Genomic DNA, 24,760 nt, shown 5'->3' on the forward strand with positions numbered 1-24,760 from the left:
AAGACAAAATAAAAAGAATGAATGAATAAATGGAAGAAAGGAAAAAAGATAAAAAATGTGTCTGGTTATATTTGGGTGATGAGATTATAGTTTCCTCATTTCTCTGTTTTCCAAATTATCTTTGCTTTAGAAAATTTGTTTTACTTTCCAAAAACTTAATGTTAAAATGTGTTTCTTTGAAAATGTCATAGTTTAGTATTTCCAAAGATGACTGGTTTTTTAATTTAGGAGGAACAGTGTTTATTTACTAGATAGTTTTCGTAGTGAGTTGTTTTTCTTTTCATAAGAAAGAACAAATCTGCCTTTGGTGCTCCTTGAAGGCAGGACACATCTGCTTCCTGTTATCAGCTCTCTAAGCCCCTTCCTAATAGAGTATCTTAAGAACATTGGCTCTTTAATAAATGTGTGAAGTGAAAGCAATTATGTGTGTAACTGCCAAGTGATAGCCAGTGGGGATAATGGCGAGAAACTTGGCTCTGGTTTATAAAACCACTGAGTTAGGTCACAAAATCGATCCATGGCTAGCTTTAACTATGCTCTAGATTTTCTCTTCTGATGTATTATAGATGGTAATTATCTCAGGTAATTGGATGATCTATGACATTTCTTCTTTGTGTTCTTCTGGATTTTCTGCCCTAATCATATAATACATTTATAACTAGAAAATAATAATGCAAGGACTTAGAATCATATCAATAAAATATGTCATAGGTGCAACCCAGAAGGATGGGTCCTCAAGGATTTAAAAAAGCTTCTATTGGCCGGGCGCGGTGGCTCACGCCTGTAATCCCAGCACTTTGGGAGGCCGAGGCGGGCGGATCACGAGGTCAGGAGATCGAGACCATCCTGGCTAACACGGTGAAACCCCGTCTCTACTAAAAATACAAAAAATTAGCCGGGCGTGGTGGTGGGCGCCTGTAATCCCAGCTACTCGGGAGGCTGAGGCAGGAGAATGACATGAACCCAAGAGGCAGAGCTTGCAGTGAGCCGGGATAGCGCCACTGCAGTCCAGCTTGGGCGAAAGAGTGAGACTCCGTCTCAAAAAAAAAAAAAAAAAAAAAACAAACAAACAAAACAAAACAAAAAAAGCTTCTATTATTTTACAAATAAAAGTCTGGTGCCAGGACAAAAACTAGGGGCAAAGAGCTCTGAATTCCCTTTATCACGTTATACTTTGTGTCCTGGGGAAAATCTAACTGCCTGTGCCTTTGTTTGCTCAAAAAGAGACATCATATACATCATGAGTGAGGTAAAGATTGCAATAACCTGCTAGGATGTGAGAAGGACATTTCAAAGGAAAGAACCCCACACTATCCAGGGATTTTATTGTTTCATGGCTATAGGATCTTGAAATTCCAATGCCAGACCTAGCATGAACATAAATAAGTGCTCCTCCATTCCAAGCTGCTGCTTTTACAAATGTAAACTGAAGTCAAGAGAAAATTACTTAGTTGAAGTTTTAGAGCTACCTGGGTGGAGGTGCCAGGAGCCTATCAATGTGATTATTTTCAGAATTTGGTTAACACAGATGTTTTCTCTCTTTGTAGGAAACGTGCACTGAGGATTTTCATCATGTTTGATGTCCTCACCGTCACTGGACTTTTATGTTACATACTATTTTTTGGTGCTACATTTCTCTTTGAAAGGGTGCTTCTGAGAATGCTTGGGTGCCGCACCACATGGGACCTACGGGAGATGAGAGAGCCTTTCTTGAATTTGGAAGTGGAAGCCTTGTTACCCTCCTAAAGATACAGAAGTTACTGTCACCCTACTGACTTTCTCACCAGTAAACATTGTGGCTGTTCCTGTATTGTGGTGGCTAACTTATTTTTCAAAAAATAACGTACAAGGTTTTTGTAAAGAACGTTGTAATTACACAGAAGTTGATTGATCACGGAAAAAAAATGAAAACAGCTTATCTTTACCTTTATGAATCACAATCCCTTCTTGAATCATTCCACACTTTGTTGAAAACATTTTCTTCAAACCACTAACCTTCCTTCTCCCCCAACATGGGGTACATTGAGACCACAAAGTATTATCTCCCGTGGTTATCTTCTCCATTTTGACTTCTGTTGTCTCAAAAAAGAAAGCATAAAATTCTTTCCCCTCCACTGTATCCAATTTTACTTCAATTGAATTGGAGCCCTATTTTGGAGATAGTTGGCATTTCTTGGCTTTTCTCCTTAACATTTATTTCTTCTTTTGATAATAGCACCCGAAGTTTGCTTTGAAAGAACTATCCCCAGCGGGCCTAATTATAGGCGGTCTTTCAGTCAATGTCCCCTGTCTTCTTATTAATAAGAGCTGGAAAACTGTTGCATCAGACATTCTCTATAACTGAGAATTTTAAGAAGATTCACAAAATCAAAAGGAAATGATTAGAACTTTGATTTTGTAAACCACTCCGTATCTTTTTCTGCTTAAATTAGCCAGACTGGTTCTGTTGCTTACAATCAAAGGAAGTCTAACTGATACAATAGAGAATTTTGAATGTCAGACTAGAGTGTTTTATCCCTAACTTTGTAGCTAATGGGAAAATGCTAACATTTATTTTTAATATAAAAAAGTTATAATTAAAATGTGCAAAAGTAATATTAAATAGAACCATAAAGAATAAATTAGAGTAGGAGGGCAGATGGAGTGCAAGAGTAGTTAAAAAGCCATTCAGTGGTACAGGTGAGCCAAAGAGGTGGAGATGGAAATGCAAAGACCATGAATGAAGCAGACATTATGAGGTTGGATCTTAACGGTATTTGGTTGTGTAATGGACGTGGAGTTGGAAGGCTGGTGGCCAAGAGATATGCAATACGGTCCCAGTTCTCATATTTGACTGGATCTTGAAGGATGAATAATATTTTCATGGCAGAAATGACAAAAAGGCATTTCAGAGAAAAGAAAAACCATGAGTAAAATTTAGAAGCCAGGAATATAAAACAAAGTTAGGAAAGCTGGTACAGCATAGAGCTCACCATACCAGTTTGTACAGTCTTTAGAAACAAACACTATGCCTCATTCATGTTTCTGGTCTCTGGAATAGTGATTCCCAAATGCTGGCCCATTGATTAGATGCACTGGAATCTCTTGGGGAGCTTTATACATTAGAGACTTCCCCCATTCCCAGATATTTGGATTCAGTAGAGCTAATGCAGGATCCAGAAACTTTATTTATTTATTTGAGACAGAGTTTCACTCTTGTCACCCAGGCTGGAGTGCAGTGGTGCGATCTCAGCTCATTGCAACCTCCGCCTCCCATGTTCAAGCGATTTTCCTGCCTCAGCCTCCCAAGTAGCTGGGATTACAGGCACGCACCACCACGCCCAGCTAATTTTGTATTTTTAGTACAGACGGGGTTTCACCATGTTGGCCAGGCTGGTCTCAAACTCCTGACCTCAGGTGATCTGCCCTCCTCAGCCTCCCAAAGTGCTGGGATTACAGGCGTGAGCCACTGTGCCCGGCCCGGGAACTTTATTTTTAAAAATAAAAATCCAAATTGGGTAACCATGCCTTGGTACACTGTAGGAAAATGCGGTGCACATAGTTTGTATGGACTTGATAAATACCCGTTGAAGTAAATTAAACTATGTGGTTCTTATCTTTGCAGCCTCCCTATCACCTCACCTCAGTCCTATATTCAATATTTATCTGTTCAATAATTTCAATCACAGCCATTTTTCCAATGCCCCCATCTTCCCACACCCTTGAAATAATTTTCAACTCCTTTACTATCTTATTTTTGTGTTCTAGCAATCACTTGGCCATGCCAATTTCTTCTACAGATATTTTTCTTAGATCAGCCCTATTATTTGCATTTATTTAGTTAACATTTTTAATAGGTCTTACCATAGAGATGGATCACTGTTGGCCTAATCCAGCCTGTTGTTTCTACTTCCATGGATTGTCATTATGTACACAGCTGCTGAAAAGAATGGACTCCAATCATCACTTTTATCCTGATACTCTGTAGCCAGAAAACTGGGCGTATTGGTTGCTAGAAATATGCAATTTGTTTGCAAGTGGTTCTCAAGCTGTGATATTTAACAGAATTCCAAAAAGAGGCATTTAATTCTACATTTGTCTGAGCATCACCTCCAGAAGTTCTGATTCTTTAAATGTGGTATGAATCTCTGATATCCTCTATTTTAATAGATTCCCCTAACAATTCTTATAACTCAAAGTTTAAGAACACCATGCTCTATGGGCAAAAGGTACCTGGGATTACAAATTAGCTGAGATCCCATACAAGGTTAATCAAGGTTCTTTGGGAGCAGGGTGAAAGGGTGAGCGTAAAGGAATTTCCAGGACACACAGAAAGGCAAAGAGCCAAAAGCTCTGGGAGCAATGACTAACATATTCAAAAGGTCTTGTGATAGGGACTATGCTGACAGATCTTAAAAAGTCACAGTTATCTTGTTTACAGATACAAGGACTATTCAGACAAATTTATAGATAGAACTTGGTGTATGTTTTTTATAATCATCAGGTAAGTTCCCATAACTAGAAACAGTACTGGTTGATTTACCCGTAAATCCCAAAAAGAAGTAGTGAGTTCAATAAAGCTTAAAATCTTGTGATAGTCACATAACACTAAAGACAAAGTAAGTTAGAGGACTAGATTGTTTTAAAGAATAAATTAATATTTTACTAACTTCCAAGACATATTTGATTAGGATTTTGACTAAGATGGGATACTTTTCCCTGGGAGATGAATATCTTTGAAGTGGGAATGGTAATATTTTCACATCAATTTGTTTTCAATTCATCAGCATCTCAAGCTGGGAAGCTGGAAGTCACAGTACTCTATTGAGAGAGGGAAACATTTAGTAACATATGGAAATATTAAGAGGGTATGAATGTCTACGTGTGGTAACTCAGCTAACTGCTTTTGGTTGGTCAGGTCGGGTTTTATTTCAGATATTTTAATGCCATATTCAATTGAGCCAACTGCTGTACTCTAAACCATTTGCTAAAAATGTCTGAATCACTGCATAAATATGTTTTTGGTTTTGGACTAAGAGGAAAGAACATGAGTTTCACAAAATCTCCATTTGTCATGTTTTTAGGTGAAGACAGCTATGCTGTAGTGAAAGGAGCTTTGAACTTGGATTTAAAGTTGGGTTCAAGACATGATCCACTGTCAACTGTGTTTGGATGGGGTCAGCTAATCTCTCTCCCTGGAGGGGGATCCAAACAACCATTCCCCATCTGCTGAGAGTTCATAGCAAGACCCTACTTTGGACTTGGCCTTAGTCAAAGACAGTTGTCTAACCTAAGCTTCCTCTCCTTCCCTAAGGGTGGTCTGCATCCAATGCCTAACCCAGGGTACCTTTTTAGAGGGCCATCCTAGCCGCAGAGCTCCTGGTGGGGTCAGCTGAGGCCTCTAGTGCAATTGTATCACATTTCATCTCCATCTGCCCCATTCTGCTTCTACCATCCCCTCCACATTTGTCCACCCTGTGAGTGTCCCCCAGTAAACCTGTGTGCAAGTCTTTGTCTCAGAGTCCTTTTCCCAGAGAACATTACCTAAGACACTTGTGGAAATAAAGAACAGTCAAATGAGAACAAGCAGAGGCTATTTATTCAGAGCTTGCAATAACAAAGGAGTCCATCAGTTGCATTTTGGCAGAGACTCAAAGGCAGGCAGAGGAGTGGGAAAGCTTTAGAGTGGGAAAAAGGCAAGGTTGGATAAGCCCTGATTGGGACATCCCAGGTGATTGATTAGGGGGTGCATATTTGACTTTCTCTAGTTGATCCTATGTTGGAAGCAGGGACAAAAATTAGGGGAGCTGCCAGTTATTTCTCACGATTTTGTTTACTCATATATAAATTGAGAAAAATAATACCTGCCTCATGAGATTGCTGGATTAAAGAGCCTGATGTTTAATAGGTTTTGAGTATTATTATTATTACCATGAATAATATTTTTAAACGTGTGAGATTGCCTTAATTAAGAACTTTGGGTTTGACCTAATAGTGAAGAAATGAATTTGAACACACTTCCTGATATATCTTAAAGTAAAAATAAGTGAACAACAAGCCATGAAGTCTTGCTTGACTCCTTCCTTTTTCATATTCCACTCTCAGTCTGTCAGGAAATCTTGTTGCTTAAAACACATGCAGAATTCAACTGCTACTCACCACCTCCCTGATAGCAACCACCTTTGCATGTCACCATTGTTGCAAAAACCAACCAACTTGCTCTCGTTCTCCTGATTCCACCCTTGCCCACATACAATTCAGCAGTCAGAGTGACACTCTTTTATAATGCAGGTCAAATCATGTCACCTTTCTGCTCCAAACCCCTTCAGTGGTTTTCCATTTCTTTCAAAGTAAATGCCAAAGTCCTTTCAACTACTTGTATTTGGCCACTGCCTTCTGTTGGCTCAAGCCTCATCCTATTCTACTTGTCCTCTCGATCACGCTTCTCAAGTTCCACTGTTCATCTTGGTGTTCCTGGAACACATCAGGCACACTCTGGTCACCAGGGCTTTGCCTGGGCCAGCCCCTCTGCCTGGAAGTCTCTTCTCCATGGCTTACTCCCACAGTACTTTCAAATCTTGGCTCAAAGGTTATCTTCTTGGCTGTAATAAAAAAGACAGATAATACTAAGTGTTGGTGAGGATGTGTAGAAATTAGAATCCTATTATATTGCTGGTGGGAATGTAAATAATACAGCCACTGTGGAAAACACTTACTCAAAAAATTAAACATAGAGTTACCATATACCTTCAGCAATTCCATGCCTAGGTATATATCCAAAAGAATTGAAAATATATATCCACATAAAAACTTGTATGTGAATGTTCATAGCAGCAGCATTCATAATAGTCAAAAAGTACAAACCAAATATCCATCAACTGATGAATAGATAAACAAAATGTGGTGTACTGATACAATAGAGTTATTATTCAACCACAAAACAGAATGAGGTATTGATACATGCTACAACCTGGGTGACCTTGGAAAACATTATGTAAAGTGAAAGAAACCAGACACAAAATTCTACAGATTGAGTGATTCCATTTATATAAAGTGTCTGGAATATGCAAATCCACAGAGACAAGGCAGAAGAATGGCTGTCAGAGGTCGGGAAGAGTGACTACAAATTGGTTTGGAGTGTCTTTTTGGAATGATGAACATATTCTGAAATTTCATGCTGTTGATGGTTGTACAACATTGTGACTACACTAAAAACCACAGAATTGTACACTTTAAAATAGTGAATTTTAAAATGCCGTCTTCTTAATGAGGCTCGTATAACCATCATGTTTAAAATTGCATTCCTCCCATCCCCATCCCACCTCTCCCAAACCTGCCCTGTTCTATTTTTTGTCATGACTTCTACCATAATATATAATTTACTTATTAGGTTTATTGTTTATCTGTCTCTTTCCATGAAAATGTAAGCTCCACAAAAGCATAGACTAAACTAGGACTATATAGACATCACATTATATACAAAATATCCGAAAACATGTCTGAATGCTAAAAGGCTAAAGAGGAAAAGGAATAAGTTGTACCCAGGATGAGGGGGTCAAGGTTTAAAAGGGGTAGGTAACCAGGAGGGAGGAAATGGGCTAGATATACACATAACAATAATATGTAATAACTAACAACAGTCATGTTGTTTTAAAAACATTAGTATGTTTCATGCACTGTGTTAAGTACTTCATGCACATTTTATGATTTAATCCTCACAATTATTTTATAAGCCAGGTATTATCATTATCCCCATTTTTATACATGAGAGAATTGAGGCACAGAGGATAGTAACTTGTTTAGAGTCCCACTGTAAAAGGTAGCATCAGGATTTGAATCTAGATTTATCTGGCTGCAATATCTGTGTCCTTTTCAAGTGACATGCAGCCTCCCCAAATTGGATTGTACGTTCTATGAAAGCAGGAACAATGCCATGTTAAGCCCTGCATATTTAGCATATAGCACACTACTTAGAAGATAGTAAATGTTCACAAAATATTTGTGAATGACCAGCTGGGAATGAAGGCAGGTGCATGTAGTCCTAGCTACTCAGAAGGCTGAGGTGAGAGGCTCGTTTAAGCCTAGGAGTTCGAGGCTGCAGTGAGCTATGATTGTGCCACTGCACTCCAGACTCAGTGACAGAGTGAGATCCTGTCTCTAAAACAAGCAAGCAAACAAAAATTATTAATGAATCAATGAACTAACATTTATTCAATATCAAGTGCAGCTTTCACCAGTGCTACAGGTTTTGGAAACCACCTGCAACCCTGGCCATCTCTGGCATCATCTCTGCCACTGACCACTGTTCCCAGAAGCAATATAGATGCAAAGGTCATTGACATAGTCAAGGAACGGCCAATGGCCTCACTCTCCACCCAGCTTGGATGTGAGCTACTTCAGGGGCTACAACGTTTTCTGCTTTCTCCACTTCATCCCCAAACTGAATCTTCTCTTCAAGCCTAAAGTCCAGTTACTTTTTCTAGTACTGAAGGCCTCTCCATTCCAGAGCATTATGTTGGCTTCCTTTCCCACCTTCTGGGTAGGAGCTCACACTGCCTGTCCCAATAGCTTCTGGCTGGTGAGACTGCCATATGCTCAAAAATCAGATTTTGTCTCATGACTTTTTCCCTTTGGAAGGGCTTTTGCTGCATGTGTTGATAAACAAGCAAAGCAAGTGGTTGCAGTAACTTCTATAAAAGTAGAGGTTTAACAGTTGAGATGCTTTTATCTGTAACAGGATACCTAAATTATATTGGATTAAAGAATAAGGACACTTATTATCTCATGTGGCAAAATATCCACAGCGAGGGTGGTTCCAGGGTTGGTTAGTTGAGCAGCTCAATGGTGTCATTGCTCTGAGTCACCATTTCTTCCATTCTCTTGGCTCTCCCGTCATAGTCCCAAGGTGGCTGCCGTGGCTCCAAACATTTTTATGCAACAGAAGGAAAGAGTGGGAGAAAATCTTTTCCCAGAAGCTCCAGGCTGACTTCCTCCTGGGAACCACCTGATCAGACTAGATTACAGGCCCCAACAAACGAATAACCAGGACTGATCTGCCTCTTTTCCCCCTCCACTGCACCTGTGAGCTGAAGCACAACAAATGCTCATGCTGCTCAGTTGCCACCAAATAACTCGTTCTTCTAGAGAAATCAAGTACACACAAAAAGTGAACAGTCTTCTCTGGATGGTAGGATTGTAAGTGACTTTTCTTCTTCAGAAAAATTTATGCAGTGAATGTTTTAACTTTATTTATTTATTTTGAGACAGGGTCTCACTCTGTTGCCCAGGCTGGAGTGCAGTGGCATGATCATGTCTCATCGCAACCTTGACTTCCCAGGCTCAAGTGATCCCTCCCAACTCAGCCTCCCAGGCTCAAGCGATCCCTCCCACCTCAGCCTCCTGTGTAGCTGGGACCTCAGGCACATATCACCATGCTTGGCACATTGTTAACATTTGTTTTAGAGATTAGGTCTCACTATGTTGCCCAGACTGGTCTCGAACTCCTGGGCTTTAGTGGTCCACCTGCGTTGGCCTCCCAAAGTGCTAGAATTACAAACATGAGCCATCATGTCAGGCTTAACTTTTTAAAAGCCTTTGTATTAAAAAGTATTCTTACAATTAACAGAAAATTTGCAAGACTAGAATGAGAAATTCCCATATACACTTTATGTAGATTCACCAATATTTAACATTTACCACATTTGCTAAATTAATTTCCCTGTCTCTATAATTTTTCCTGAGTCATTTGAAAGTCTGCATATATCATTCTCTCTCTCTCTCTCTTTCTCTTTTTTTAAAGACAGGGTCTCACTCTGTCACCCAGGCTGGAGTGCAGTGGTGCAATCATGGCTTACTGCAGCTTCTACCTCCTGGGCTCAAGCAATCCTCTTGCCTCAGCCTCCTGAGTAGCTAGGACTACAGGTCACCACACTGGGCTAATTTTCTTTTCTTTTCTATTATTTTTCTGTTTTTTTCTTTTCTATTTTCTATTTTTTCTATTTTTTATTTTTCTATACAGGGTCTTGCTATGTTGCCATTCTCTTTTCTTTATAATACTTGGAAGTGTATATCCTAAGAACAAAAAATACTCTCTTACAGATCAATGATATGGCTGTAAAATTTAGGAAATTTAACATTGATACATTACTTTAGTCTACCACCTACATTCTAATTTTGTCAATTGTTCCAATGCTGTCTTTATAGAAATTCTTTCCCATGTAGGATCTAGTTTAGGATCTTGTATTAGGAATCTTGTCAAGTCTTTGTAATGTCCTTTTATCTGGATGACTTTCTCAACCTTTCTTTGTCTTTCATGCCCTTGACATGTTCTAACAGTAGGGCCAATTATTTTCCAGAATGTCTATCAGTTTGGGTTTGTTTGATGCTTATTCAGGATTAGATTCAGATTATGCATTTTTGGCCAGAATGTTACCTAAGTGGTGTTGAGTTCTTTTCAGGATATCATCTCCGGAAGTATACAAAGTCCATCTGCCCCTCATTGGTGATGTTAATTTTGATCACCTGGTCAAGGTATTGTCTGGTTTCCCCACTGATGTACAATGTTTTAATCATAAGGGAAAATTATTTTAAAGTAATGTATTATAAAATATCACATTACAATAACTGGGAACTGAATTTAAATGAAAAATTGTATGTCATGCTCTCCTGTTTGTACAAAGAACACTTACTACACCCCACTGGTCGCACCAAACTTGAGAGATAAATAGGATTTGAAAGCATCATGTTGCAGAAAAGAAACTAAGGTTTGGAGAGGTAAAGTCAGTTGCCCAACGTTTGTGCCAGAGCCAGGACTAGGACCAGAATATTCTCTCCCTGATCTGCCACCCTTCGCCCTCCACTCAAAAGCCACAGCGTAACAAATGCTTCTCCCTGCTCAGCTGTCACCCAAGAACTCTTCAAAAGAAATTCCTTCCTTCCCTTCCTTGTCACTTAATATAATTGTACGATTCCAAGTCTTCAGTTCCAGACTCCAGATCTGTTCACATTAAAATGCAATCCAGGTCCAAACTAGAAGTGAGTTTCCTGTTTTATCATTTAAATGAGTTACCTTAAGCCTTGGTTATCTCAGCAAACTTTCTTCTCACTGCTGACTGGTCATACTTGGAGCCAGCCAAAAATGAGATAAAGAGGCTAGGATACAGTATGCTGGATTCATTCCACAGAGGTGTCTTTGTATGCTTGTGAGTAGAAGAGTAATGATGTTTTTTTTTCCTGGCTGGAAACAGAATCAACTGTGCTATTTTGAAATCTACCAAAGGCAGACAGCCCAAGAACCTATAATTGCAGAGAGACACAGTTTTTTCTGGCATCCGTGTCTGTGTGTGTAGGTTGTGAAAAGCAATACTGGCCTAGCAGTAGATTTAGCATCAAGCGAGCTGAGATTTAGTCCCAGGACTGTCACTAACATATTCCCTGTATTGCCATTTTGTTCACAATAGCAAGTAGTGACCTTTCTGTGCCTCTGCTTCTCCAACCAGTGATAAGAAGAGTTGCTCTTACATATGCACACTGGTATTTCATGAAGACAAATAGAACATAGTGAAGGGAAAAAAGCGTACTGGTTCTTCCACTTAGTGGCTGTGGGTTATGAGCAGAATTTTGTCACTGTCAAATTCATATGTGGAAGTCCTAACCCCTGGTACGTGAATGTATTTGGAGATAGGGTCTTTAAAGAGGTAATTAATTAAATTTTTTTATTTTTTATTTTTATTTTTAAGATGTTTGATTTATTTTTAATAACCCTTCATTGTATATTTTATATGCTCTCAAGTTACAGAAAACTGCAAAGCTGAAATTCAACATCGGCTAGTGTCAAATGATTCCTTTTTAAAAAAAAGATTTTGGTTTTAGGAGTGAAACAAATGGATCATGGAGAATGAATGCAGTAGATCATTACACAAGTGATCAGTCAGCATCTTTGCCTCCACATTAAGGTTACTGAATGAATAGCTCAGATTTATAATATCTGAATTTCATGCCGGCATAAAACCCACAACCTTGACTAAGTTATCATAAGACATTAGGAAGAAAGTATGGTGATAATAATCCATCCAAATGCTACATAAATGGAAACACTGTGAGAAAGTTGGCTGAGCACCTGAATAATCTAATTCATAATGTCTCCAAAAAACCATACAATGATTTAGGGGAAATAATGAATGAAAATAAAGACATATATAATTTAAGATATGTATGTGTCATATGTATTTCAGTCTTTAGCCTTAAACAGTGTGTTAACTTGCCTAGATAATTGTCCACTAAAAGATAAAATATTCTGATTTTTTTCTGCTACTGTTGGAGACATTCTTATACAGTTTCATTAAAGTTATTAATTTTGAAAATGTACCTTTCTCATATTTTTCTAAAGAAATTTCTGATGGAGTGAAATTATATTAACTTTCAAGGTAGACAAACCAGCCCTATGACATACTAGCTACATTGACTTGAGTAAGTTTTTTTTTATTCTTTATTTTTGTTTTCCATTTTTATTACAAACAATTATGAAATGACAACTAAAGAGGTAATTAATTTAAAATGAAGCCAAGAGGGTGGGCCTTCATCCCAAAGACCATGTGAAGTGACAGAGAGAAGGTAGCTATCCACTAGACAAGAAGAGAGGCTTCAGAAGAAGGTACCACCTGCGTTGACACTGATGTTGGCCTGCTGGCCTTCAGAGCCATGAGAATATATATTTCTGTTGTTTATGGCACCTGACCTGTGGGACTTTGTTATGATAACCCAAGCAAACTAATCCAGGGACCCCAGGAAAGTTACTTAACCCTTCTAGGCAGGATAAGTGACATAATTTTCAGGGTCCAGCATAAATGAAAATGTGGGTTCCCTTGTTTAAAAGTTTCTAAGAATTTCAAGACAGCAACAGTCAAGCATTAAACCAAGTATGGGGACCACTCTAAGCAGCCCTGTGCAACTGCACGTGTTACCCACCCATGGAGCCGATTCTGGTTCTAGGCCTCAGCTTTGTCATCTGGAAAGTGGGGGTAATAATTGCACTTACTTTTAGGGCTGTTGGGAAGATTAAATCAGATTCTAGGACGAAGCTTTCAGAGTACATGAAAGGGCAACCCAGAAAGGTGTTCAAAGTTTGACATTAATTGTCGTGCCTGGGTTGAGTTCCAGGATCACAAGAAAGAATAGTTTGTTTTCTTTTTCGCCATTTACGGTCAATGAGCCATTAGTCAGTGGGAAGAGAGAGTGGAGATGGGGAGGAGAGAGCATGGATATTTTAAAGCTGAGAGATTCTGCTGGGGCGAACAATGCAGATTGTTTGATGATTTGCTTGTTTATAGTCTGAGGGTCTCTGCTCCAGGGCAAGTGACTTTTTTCTTCTCCTCCTTCTCTCTTGCCTGCTACCCAGGAAGTATGCTCCACTGCAAGTGGCATTTGGACTCCAGAGCATCTGTGTTGTTGCCTGACTTTCTGACAAAAGTGTTATTATTTCCACACATATGACCCTTTTATTCTATAAATAAATAAAGCTTTAGAAGTCAACCGAACACAACCCTGATGTCTAAAATAGGATAGAATAAATAAAGCTGATCCTTATAAGATTAATCCACATTAGAAGGTAAAGAAAGCCAGAGGATTCTGAGTGACATTTTGAAAGGAGGCAATTATTTTATTTGACATATTTATTATCTTCTAAAATAATTTAGACACCAGGAGTTTGAATGGATTAGAATAAAACTCCCAACATGAAAGCTTTTCCAAACAATAATATTATATGGCAATAATCTTTAGTATAAGACAAAGTTCTAACTGAATCTTCTGCTGGTATTTTGGTAGATTTCATAGCATAGTGAACAGAAGAAATCTTAGCAGTTCTTCTTTGCAATTCAACCTCTCCCAAAGGGGGCTGAATCTAGGGTCCAAATCTTTTCCTTCTTAACATGATGATGTGTAGCCACCCCAGAACAATTGGGTTCAACTTTTATGTAACAAAGCTGTGAGCTGTTTTTCTGTCTCAACAGATGTCAGGTCATGTAACCAGAGCATGCCCAGATGAACTAAATGTGCAACAACAGAGTGAACTTAAATGCTCAGAAGGAGGATTGGAGACTGAATTAAGAAGTAGACACCTCACGGCCGGATGCAGGATCCAATCAAATCGAGTTCTGGTGTCCCGATGGCAGGAAGCAGTCAGATCATGCCTCCCGACATTACCTCATTGCAAGATCCAATCAGATCACACCTCATTACCCTATGGTTATAAAACCTGGCTCAGCCCCCAGCTAAGAGAGTCAATGCTTTGGGAACTAGTCCTGTTCTCCTTATGTGTTACATTAATTTTTAAAATCCCCTTGTTAAATCCTCCTTGGTTGTGGTCATTGGGTTAACACCTGCCCAGTGACCAAATCTACCTGTTGTGTGGGTAACAGATGGAATCACTAAGTCACGATATCCATTGATTGCCCTTTTGATAGGAAAGCTCAGAACTTTACAAACCAGTCCTATAAGAAGCAGCATCTTTCCTTATACTACTGGTTACTCTCATAAATGTAACTCAATAAAAGTGAAATAGGGTTGATTGAGGGAAGTTTTTTGTTTGTTTGTTTTGAGACGGAGTCTCACTCTGTTGCCCAGGCTGGAGTGCAATGGCATGATCTCAGTTCACTGCAACCTCCGCCTCCTGGGTTCAAGCGATTCTCCTGCCTCAGCCTCTTGAGTACAGGCGTGCGCCATCGCGCCTGGCTAATTTTTGTATTTTTAGTAGAGACGGGGTTTCACCATGTTGGTCAGGCTGGTCAGGCCGGCCTCAAACTACTGACCTCGTGATCCGCACGCCTTGGCCTCCCAAAGTGTTGGGATTACAGGCGTGAGCCACCGTGCCCGGCCTGTTTTTTTGTTTTTGTTTTGATTTTAGTAACATGAGATATGCTATGTCCTGACTCTGTTCTCATTATAGTTAAAATAAATAAATCTAAACTCCTTCAAGACCCTAAGTGATCTGGCTGCTGATATGAGAGTCTGTAGAAAGATAAAACAATATTCAAGCTTCTTTTCTTTTGGCCCTTTGTTCATTGCCCTTGTAATCATAGCTTCTTCATGCTAGTTGCTTAGGGAAGGAATGAAGTAGAACAGGGCCATGTAATTAATATAATGATATTTAATTAATATGCAATGATAATTATATGTTGTAAACTAATACATTCTAAAATTCCCACAATGTGTGACAAAAATATACCACCAAGACAGACTGAGGTTGACCTAAAGTAATGTCACAATGTAATATGATTTAGAGGCAAACTTAATCTTGATCACCAGATTATACATTAAGAACTTTCACCTCGCTTCAGAATAAAACACTTCACTTTGTCTGCTCTATTTTTTTCAGGGAAGGTAAAATGCTCTCACATTTATTATCTCGTTTAAAGTCACGGCATTCCTTAAGCGCTTTCAAGTCGTAAGGCATTAAAAGTATTCAGATTACCTCAGGTGATAGAAATTTAGTGTGAGACTACCTGAGGAAGGGAGGAAATGCAGGAAAACCACTGAACCGTCAAGCCTCATGAGAACTGGAGCACAGTCCGGGATTCAAGAGTGAATCTACTAGTCTATTATTCTTACGGCTGAGCTTCTCTCTCAGCACAGACTGTACTGCCAAACTCGGTTGTATTATGCTACTTCCTAGTTATGTGACCATGGACAAGTTACTTAAGCTCTCTGTGGCTTGGTTTTCTCATCTGCAAAGTGGAAACAGGGTTGAAGGTAATATATTTAAAGGCATTTAAAATACAGTTCGAGTCTCCCTTATCTGAACTGCTTGGGACCAGAAGTGTTTAGGATTTCAATTTTTTTTTTTTTTTTCAGATTTTGGAATATTTGGATTTTACTTACAGGTTCTTATAAGTAACTTGCCAGCATCCCTAATCTAAAAATCTGAAATCCGAATTGCTCCAATGGACATTTCCTTTGAGCGTCGTGTTGGCACTCAAAATTTCAGATTTTGGAGCATTTTGAATTTCAGATTTTCAGATTAGAAATGCTCAACCTGTAGTACCTGATACACAAAAATCGGCATGTGTTCACTATCATCATTACCATTTTAATTATTGCTGTCCTATTTTTGATTCCTTCAGTAGCTAGCGTCCACCACCCCTGTGGCATCCACCACCTCATGGCTCCTGACTACTGCTTTTTCTAGGTGTGACTCTCAGCACATGCCACCCTTTTCTGCTTTATGTTTTACTTCAGCTCCTGTCTACTTTCTTCTGATTTCATCTTCTAGACCTCATGCTTCTACTTACTATTCTGTGCATGACCTGTATTCATTCTGTTTATGACCTTTATTCCATGTGCCTCCTTGCTTCTGCTCTACTCTATGGTCTGGTTTTCTAGACATATTCAATGTGTCATATTAAATGTCTTGAGGGAAGATATACATGGCCCCGTTAGTGGGTGTTCAGTACAGATCTCTGCTGAACAGTTCCTGTGCCTGTTTGCCCCAGGCCATTGACAAGTTTATACCTGGCTGTCTTCATTCAGGTGGGAATCCATGCTTCAATCAGTGCTATTGAAGTGTCGTAGGAAGGTTGCCGAGGAATCCTGGGTATACAGAGCCATTTCGGACTCTCAGAAGGAAGTTGTGGAGTTAGCAGCATCAGAGTTTCATGGAACACCCTTTTTTAGTTTGTTTGCATTAATGACATCCCAATCACAGATGAAGAAACTGAAGCTCAAAACTGTCAAATGATGCTGGGTCTTATAACTCAGAGCACACACTTAACTAATTTTACCAAAGAAGAGGTGATATTTCTTACACTTTCTTTTATTCAGAAATGGGTGATGACCTTTTTTCAGAAATGAATGTAAAAGGCACTAATATGGCTATTACATTATGTATAATTCAGAATTCAAGCCGTTTAGGATCGAATGGAAATTAAAGTGAAATAAGATTAAGAGGTTTAAAGCCTTTAAAAGACGGACATACTGGCTGGGCACGGTGGCTCATGCCTGTAATCCCAGCACTTTGGGAGGCCCAGGTGGGCAAATCATGAGGTCTGGAGTTCGAGACCAGCCTGACCAACATGGTGACACCCATCTCTACTAAAAATACAAAAAATTAGCTGGGTGTGGTGGTGGGTGCCTGTAACCCCAGCTACTCAGAAGGCTGAGGCAGGAGAATTGCTTGAATCTGGGAGGCGGAGGTTGCAGTGAGCCGAGATCACGTCACTGCACTCTAGCCCAGGTGACAGTGCGAGACACTGTCTCAAAGAAAAAAAAAAAAAGACAGACATACTAAAGTGATAGTTGGGATCCTTTCCCATTGCTTCCTTAATACCCTGGCTAGTTTAACAAACCACAGTACTGATTATCTGGCAATTCAGATGTTGCACAGTCAGCATCCTTCAGTGGAAAGGAATTTCTGAAGATAGACTCTGGAAGAGCAAGGGAAAGTAGCAGAGAATCTAATTTTTATGGGACTTGGGAGATAGATGCTATATCCTGAAGATTTATCAGCAACTTGTTTCAACATGCCAGGAAAATTTCTTCAATGAAAGCATTTGTTTAAGCCAATTTTTCCATCATCATCTTACATCTGTTTTAGCTAAAATTTATTTCTCTTAGTCTTCTTTGACAGAAGTGTCTGGGTTAAAGTTAACCTGCCATTTTAAAATGTAAGTTCTAGTTAAGTAAAAGAATTCTAGTTAAATATTAGGAAAGACTAAACAGACAATAAATTAATGATTGTTTAGGTGACAGGTGAGTGAAGTAGAAATTAATGGATCAGTCTGAAGCCTCGGAATTGTATATATGGCACTGGTCCAGGGAATGTCAAGTTGGGTAAATTTTGATCAGTAGTGAGCCACGACGTATTATTTTAAAACTGAGCCCTATTTAATATTGTGGCAGGTGGAAATCAAGGGGGGACTTACTGGTTTTGAGTAATGCTCTGTTGTTACTGGGCGTGTTCCTAAGACGTTGAAGAGGCCAATGCACAGTGCATGTTGATAGGAAGGATGGCGGGGCTCTCCCACCCAAAGGCTTGACAGCTGTAGAAAGGCTTGGGCTGCTTGGGGCAAACATTATGCAGATCACCTACATGCAATGAAAAACAGGAATTGCTCCTGTGTATTGAAAAGGCTGGCTCCCTATCTTGTTGACCTGTCTCAGAATACAGAAACCAGACATACTTTTTAGGAGATTCAATTAAGGAAGTTTGTAATGAGGTTAATTGTTGAAGAGAATGTAATTTGTTTAGTTTAGTCATTCGTTGAACATTAATCAAAGACCATGAAAACCAATTATCCTTATTTTTAATTAAAATTTTTCAACTTATAAATAGACTAATAAAATGAGTAAGTTGAATGTAACTAGATTTTTAGATGTATCTGGTGGGTAACCAGAGAATAACCAGCACAATTGGGTTGTAAGGAAAAAGTGATTAAAATAAGACTCCCCACTTGGAGCAAGATATTGTGCCTATTTCTAACCTGTCTCTATGGGCAAGAAGGGAATGGGGAGGAGGGTTGGATTCAGAAATGATGTCAATGGTGATAGCTAGGTAGTGGCTTAGTATTCAATGAAAGGATATTAAAATAACGTCTGGATTATCACCAATGCCACGCTTAGGATCAGACAGAATAAGCAGTAATTTCCTTTAGAAGGAATTCTAAAGCTAAGCTTGTTTGATTTGGATTTGGGTTCATGATTTATACCATGTGTTTAACCCACTCTGTGTTTGGCAGTGTGACTGGGATAACAACAACTGGAGGCACCCAGATCCTTTGTGATCAGTCTGGTCAAGTTATTCCTGAACTTCTGAAGACCTAGACCATAGCAGGTTATGAGTTTCAAGCAAAAGACAGCATTCATTCACTTATTCATTCAGTGAATATTTAATCAATGTCTATGGGACAAAACATGGTTCTAGATCCTACAAAGGATGTAAAGATGAAATAAATTAGCATTCTGTTCTTGAGGACTGTAAGAAACTTGGAGCCAGAAAGGAACATAAGGCACCTATAAAAATTATAGTACAATTGTTTTATGTTGTAGGAAAAAGGAAAATATGTTTGCTTATCACCTATGATGTGTCAGGCAAGGTGCTCTGTCATCTTGCATATGACATCTTGTCAGATCCTTGCAACAACACTGTGAGGTAGATTTTTGTAGAAACAGGCAAAAATCACAGTGAGGATGTATTATTAGGAAATATGGGTGCAAAGTCATGCAGTGCATGCAGTGTGGGCATATGAAGAAGAGTCGAAAATAAGTTCAGAAAGGTAAGTTGGGGGCAAGGATGTGAAGGCTTTTGGACACCAGTCAAGAAAGTTTGATGAGTTTTGTTCCTTGGTAAAGGGAGACTCATTTAAGTGTTTAGAGTCAGGAGTGATCAGGGTTGTGCTTTAGAGAGCTGCAGCTGGAAGCCTGTAAAGACCAGACAGGCAAATGCTGTGGATTTGATGAGTAGGGTGAGCCTCTTCTGGTACCTGCATCCAAAGAAAGGGAGGTGTCCTCAAGCCTGCTCAGATTTGGGGATGGTGTAACTAAAGAGTCAGCTTGTTCTGTTACTGCAAAGGGCAGAAGTGAGAGTGTAAATTGTGGACAATCAATGCTTCAGACACAGAAAGACAAAATAGGTTTGGAATCAAATAGACCTTGGTTTCAATCCCAGTTCTGGGGGAATCTGGAGCAATTTACTTGTATAACCCTGGAGAGTGATTCCTCATGTCAAAATGATGCTAATAACACTTACCTTACAGGATGTTTGTGAGGATTAAATGAGACACAAGACAGATGTCTTTGGGGAGAAAGTCAGTAAAGCAGGATCCAGATGGATATGAGAAAGATCCCTTTTTTTTTTTTTTTGAGATGGAGTTTTGCTCTTGTTGCCCAGGCTGGAGTGCAATGGTGCGATCTCGGCTCACCGCAACCTCAGCCTCCCAGGTTCAAGCAATTCTCCCACCTCAGCCTCCCGAGTAGCTGGGATTACAGGCATGCGCCATCACGCCTGGCGAATTTTTTTTCTATTTTTAGTAGAGACGGGGTTTCTCCATGTTGGTCAGGCTGGTCTCGAACTCCTGACCTCAGGTGATCCGCCCACCTCGGCCTCCCAAAGTGCTGGGATTACAAGCGTGAGCCACCACGCCCAACCGAGAAAGATCTTTAATGGTGGGCTGCTTGCTTATTTTGTGTGTTACTGGTTGCCAGATAAGTTCAAGCAGGGGTTGGAAGCTACCTGTAAGGAATGCTGAAGAAGGGTTTCTTGCATTTTAATAGTGGTTGCATCAAATGACTTTTAGGATCCATTTCAAGTTCTAATTGAGCAGGTGTTCTCCTGCTCTGCAGTGTCTCTTGCTCCCTACCCCGCAATAGTGATACTCTTTGGCAAAAAGTTACCAAAGGTAAGGTTAGTCATAGGAATAACTAGGCAGAAAATATCTAGACCTACAGAATAAATTAGCGTTGAAATCATAGGAATCATAAATGATCATTTGCACTAAGCCAGCCAGGAGCCGGGATAGTGAGGAGTAAGTTCTGGCTACCTGCTCATCAGGCATCCTGTCTTGCTTCTGCTGCACTATCCTGATTTTTTTGGAGTTTCCCCAAGACACCCAGAGGCCAGTGATTTCAGTATGTTTATTTAAGGGTTACACTGTCTTCAAAAAATGAAGTATCATGGTGAAGCCTAAATGTAGAGCAGATAAAAGAGCTGTAACTCTGGTTAAAGGGAGGTAGAAGGAGGCTGAAATCTCAACCATTGGTTCCTCCCTCACCCACTCTGTAACCTCTAGCTTGAATGTTACTGCTCCAGACCTGGCCCGTTTTCAGCCTTCCCTTTGAGTCTTTTGTTTTCTGGATTCTGGATGGCAGCTGTTATCACTCCAGCTGCAGAAAGGATGGGAGGCGACTTCCTGTTTTTCTATCCTGCCATCTCTGTGGGGGTGGGACATTCCCTCCCCCATCTCCTGTGGCTGGCTGTAGTTTTGGAAAAATGTGAGCCTGGCTGCAGCCGTCCTGACTAGGGCTGGAGGAATGGCTGGTAGCCACCCAGCCTCCGTTTGAAGGCATCTGGGAGCAAGGCAGGCAACAGACACTGATGGACAAGTTGTGTCCCTGACTGTGGGACAGGGAAGGGTCAGTAGTTAATTAAGAGACAGGTGAAGTAGTTGGTCCAGAAGTGATCTGAGGAAGTTAAGGGTGTTGAACGAACGGTGGGTAGGGGTGTGGGAGAACAGAAGGGCTCTGGCCCTTCTGGCATAAAAAGAGAGAAAGAGAGAGGAAAAAAAGAACAAGAAGAAACAGTTAAAGTTTTTGTCTGAGAGATTATTTGGGGATAGACTGCATTTAAAGAATGGAAGAGAATAGAAATGATACAATGATCTATTTTCTCATGCCCTATATTTTTATTGAGCCTTTTCCTTGAATTGGGTATAAGGAATATAAAGAGGTCCTATAAGCAAGATGCTTGCTCTTCAGAGTTTGGGAAGGCAGGAAAGGCATTTAACTGGACATGTATAACCACATGTTTACACATCTGTACAATCTCAATCCTTATAACAACCTTTAACATAGGTATTGTCAGCCCTATTTTAAAGAGGAGGTAACTGAGATTCGGGATGGATGTTTTAGTGACTTGCCCAAAGTTACCCAATAGCTAAGTGGCAGAGCCAGGCCAAGAACCTTGAGTCCTTTTCTCTGTCCACTGTAACACACAGCTAAGTCTTGGCAGAGGACAAGGACTTTAATTTAATTAGGCTTTGAGAGAAGGGTGGGACTTAACCCACAGAGGAGTGGGGATTTCGGTTAGGCTGAAAGGTGAGAACGAAGCAGGGATCTGTGAGTAGACCTGTTTGACTACAGAGAGGGTTTCCTGGGAGCGAAGTGGGAGATAAGCTGGGAAAGGTAAGAAGCAGGATAAGAGAGAGTTTTAAATGGCTAGATAAGAATTGCAGGGAAAGGGGGACCTGATTTAGAGGGGAAGATGTTGATGACAAAACCAAACATTTTAGAAAACTCATCGGTAGTGAGTGGTACAGAGAAATAATTAGAACTGGGGGAAACTGGAGTCAGAAATTCAAGTCAGGAGTTTGGAATACTGCAGGTCTGACAAGCAACAAGATGGTAATTATATAAAGTAGGTCTGTGAGAGCAGTGGCCCAAGCCTGTGGATTTCTTGTAGCATTCTATTGTTTGAAAAAGTATAAATTATGGACACTCAATACTTGAGATATAGAAAGAAAATCAATGGCTTTGGAGTCAAATAGACCTCGGTTTCAATCCAAGTTCTAGCTGATTTGGAGAAATTTACTTACATAACTTTGCTGAGCCTTTGATTCCTTACGTTAAAATAGGGCTAGTAACACTCAATTTACAGGATGATTGAGAAGATTAAACAAGACACAATGCTGGATTCTGTGCATCCCTCTACAATTTTTGGCAGATCGGTAAATGTATGGCATGTCATCAATCAAAAAACAATGAGGCCTGGTGTGGTGGCTCACGCCTGTAATCCCAGCAGTTTGGGAGGCCGAAGAGGGTGGATCACCTGAGGTCAGGATTTCGAGACCAGTCTGGCCAATATGGCGGAAACCCCGTCTCTACTGAAAATACAAAAATCAGCCGGGTGTGGTGGTGGGCGCCTGTAGTCTCAGCTACTCGGAGGCTGAGGCAGTAGAATCACTTGAACCCAGGAGAAGGAGGTTGCAGTGAGCCAGATCATGCCACTGCACTCCAGCCTGGGTGGCAGAGTGACCTGTTTAAAAAAAGAAGAAAAAAAAGAGAAAGTTATTAATTCACTATATTTTTAGAAGATGGTGGGTTATATGCTACCTATATCTCATACAAATAAAGCTGCTTTTCACCATTCAGGTCTGCCTGTAAGCAGCATCTGCCTTGAAAGAACCATTTTCTGAGAATCTTTTTCTTCTGTCAGCCAAGGGGATTATACCGCATGATATCTGTCAAGGATAAACGTTAGTTAATTCTTAATTGAGAGCTCAGCCACTACAATTGGTTCCATTCTACAGTAATTATTCTCATGTGGTTTGTGGAACTCAATTGTGAGGTCCCTCCTTCCTCCACCCTTTTCAGTGTGTGCATTGAAACAGCAGCCTTAAGGTCTTTAAACGGGGAAATACATTTTTCTTGCTTCAGAGATTCAATTTTACTTGCCCGAGAAGCTTGTGTGGTGTGATTTTCATCGCTAAAAGCAACAGCAGCCACATGGCTGACAACACCACCACTTAACAATTCAAAGCTCGGTCACCGTTTTCAGGAGTCTCTTCCAAATCTTTCTGAAGTGCTTTTGAAGTTCTACATTCCCCGTCTAAGGGAACACCCAGCAGTCCCAGGATAAAAGGGCAGAAGGGTGAGCTGACGTTTTCCTTTATTTGCATGGCTTAAAGCTAGCCATTTTCTACACCACGCGCCGCCGGGCTTGTACATGCCCGTGTGCCTGTGACACCGAGGCAATTGTTTCTCCTTAAAAAGGGGGTTCGCGTGGGTTAGTTTCGTTTCTGATCTGGAATCTCAGTAACTACAACAAGAAAAGTTTAAAACTCGACCCGCCAGGTTCTTCCCCATCGGATTATCTCCGTTCCTTAGAGATAGCAGGAAGGGCAGCATTTTCTTCCATCCACCCACTTCCAGCCCTAGTCTGGCTCAGCGAGGAATGCATAAAATTAGTGGACTCCTCTGAGTGACGTTCCCCGGCTCCAATCAGCGGGCGCGCAGGCGCCCCCGGCCCCGCCCCACTGCTGACTCTCTTTGGCTGATTCCTGCAGGGAGGGAGGAGAGAAGGGCGGCAGTGGGAGGGGGAGGTACCTGGAACTGGGAGTGATGTCAGCTCCCAGCTCGGTGCCTGCCCGGATTCCTGACATGGTGTAGTGCAGGCAGGGTGGGGAAAGGACGGGGAAGGACTCGTGTGCTGCGAGCTGGCGGCCGGGCCGGAGTGCTGGGGCTTTGAACTCCGAGAGGAGGTGGACCAGAACTTTTGGAACTAGTGCCGGCGGCTCTCCACCCCCCAGGTAAGGGCGTTTTGCTCCACTCCCAGACGGGAGGGAAGTGGCACCGTTGTGTGGCTGCAGCTGGCTGTTGCAGCTGCTCCTCCTCTTCCCCGGGTCGATTTCCTTGTGCAACTCACTCCTGTTTCCCAATGGGAACGGGCACTTTTTGGGGGTGGTGGGGGTGGAGGGGTAGGGCTTAACTCCTGGGGCTTGGACCGAGCTTGTACGTGAAGAATACTCCAGGATTGGACGTTTAGGTCTTGTCTGTATCCTTAGACCCCCACACCCTAGGCTCCCGGTAATACCTGAGAACCCCAACCAGAGGGGCGTGTGTGTCTCTCTGTCTGTGTGTATTGAGGCATTTAAAAATGCCACAAAAAATTATGGATCATCGACTCAAAAATTATGCTCGTTGAAAAGAAAAAAAAAGTTTTGTATTTTTTTGTCTCCTTGTGGCCTATTATATATTAAAAGAATATCAATGTTAGTCTTATATATCAATGTAAAATATCCTTTTGTGTAATCCAGTCAGGATGTGAGAAATTCACTTGGGGTGTTTATTAATTATGAGCTTGCGGGAAAACTCGTCTCTTGGGGGCACACTTCTAAAACTGCAACTAGTATTCACTCATTTTAACCGAGAAATCCCTTCAGCTGCCAGCTTTATATCTGGAGAGGTTAGGATGGCTGCTGAGAATCTTCAGATCTGTTTCCTGTGGCTGCTTGAGGGGCGAGCTGGTAGTTGTGTTTTCAGGGATCTTTTTTAGAGAAGGGAGTTTTAACAGGGAAAC

At 40.7% G+C, this 24,760-nt stretch overlaps 2 protein-coding genes across 54 annotated transcripts in view, besides 4 other annotated features; both read left to right on the top strand.

The window, feature by feature from the left end:
* The window catches only part of SMCO2 (single-pass membrane protein with coiled-coil domains 2), a 78,870-nt gene extending 77,060 nt beyond the window's left edge, over positions 1-1,810 (top strand). For all 6 annotated transcript variants that reach the window (XM_047428776.1, XM_047428775.1, NM_001395208.2 and 3 more), the window contains one exon: positions 1,548-1,810. In XM_047428776.1, coding sequence (XP_047284732.1) covers positions 1,548-1,746 — 199 coding nt within the window. In that variant the 3' untranslated portion in view covers positions 1,747-1,810. The remainder of the gene's footprint in view (positions 1-1,547) is intronic.
* Positions 22,648-23,249: an enhancer, noted in NCBI's record as "H3K27ac-H3K4me1 hESC enhancer chr12:27675956-27676557 (GRCh37/hg19 assembly coordinates)". NCBI's record gives its function as "activates a minimal SCP1, AML or CMV promoter by ChIP-STARR-seq in naive H9 embryonic stem cells {active_cell/tissue: H9 hESC(naive)}" and the evidence as "EXISTENCE:reporter gene assay evidence [ECO:0000049][PMID:30033119]".
* Positions 22,648-23,606: a biological region, named in NCBI's record as "H3K27ac-H3K4me1 hESC enhancer GRCh37_chr12:27675956-27676557".
* Positions 23,147-23,606: an enhancer, noted in NCBI's record as "active region_6145". NCBI's record gives its function as "activates an Ori minimal core promoter by ATAC-STARR-seq in GM12878 lymphoblastoid cells {active_cell/tissue: GM12878}" and the evidence as "EXISTENCE:reporter gene assay evidence [ECO:0000049][PMID:35858748]".
* Positions 23,831-24,760, top strand: part of PPFIBP1 (PPFIB scaffold protein 1) — a 171,359-nt gene continuing 170,429 nt past the window's right edge. For all 48 annotated transcript variants that reach the window (XM_017020056.3, XM_047429753.1, XM_047429758.1 and 45 more), the window contains exon 1: positions 23,831-23,990. The gene's annotated coding sequence lies outside the window, so the exon portion shown is untranslated. The remainder of the gene's footprint in view (positions 23,991-24,760) is intronic.
* Positions 23,853-24,453: an enhancer, noted in NCBI's record as "H3K27ac hESC enhancer chr12:27677161-27677761 (GRCh37/hg19 assembly coordinates)". NCBI's record gives its function as "activates a minimal SCP1, AML or CMV promoter by ChIP-STARR-seq in naive H9 embryonic stem cells {active_cell/tissue: H9 hESC(naive)}" and the evidence as "EXISTENCE:reporter gene assay evidence [ECO:0000049][PMID:30033119]".

Source organism: Homo sapiens, chromosome 12, assembly GCF_000001405.40.
Source record: "Homo sapiens chromosome 12, GRCh38.p14 Primary Assembly".
Classification (NCBI taxonomy): Eukaryota; Metazoa; Chordata; class Mammalia; order Primates; family Hominidae; genus Homo; species Homo sapiens.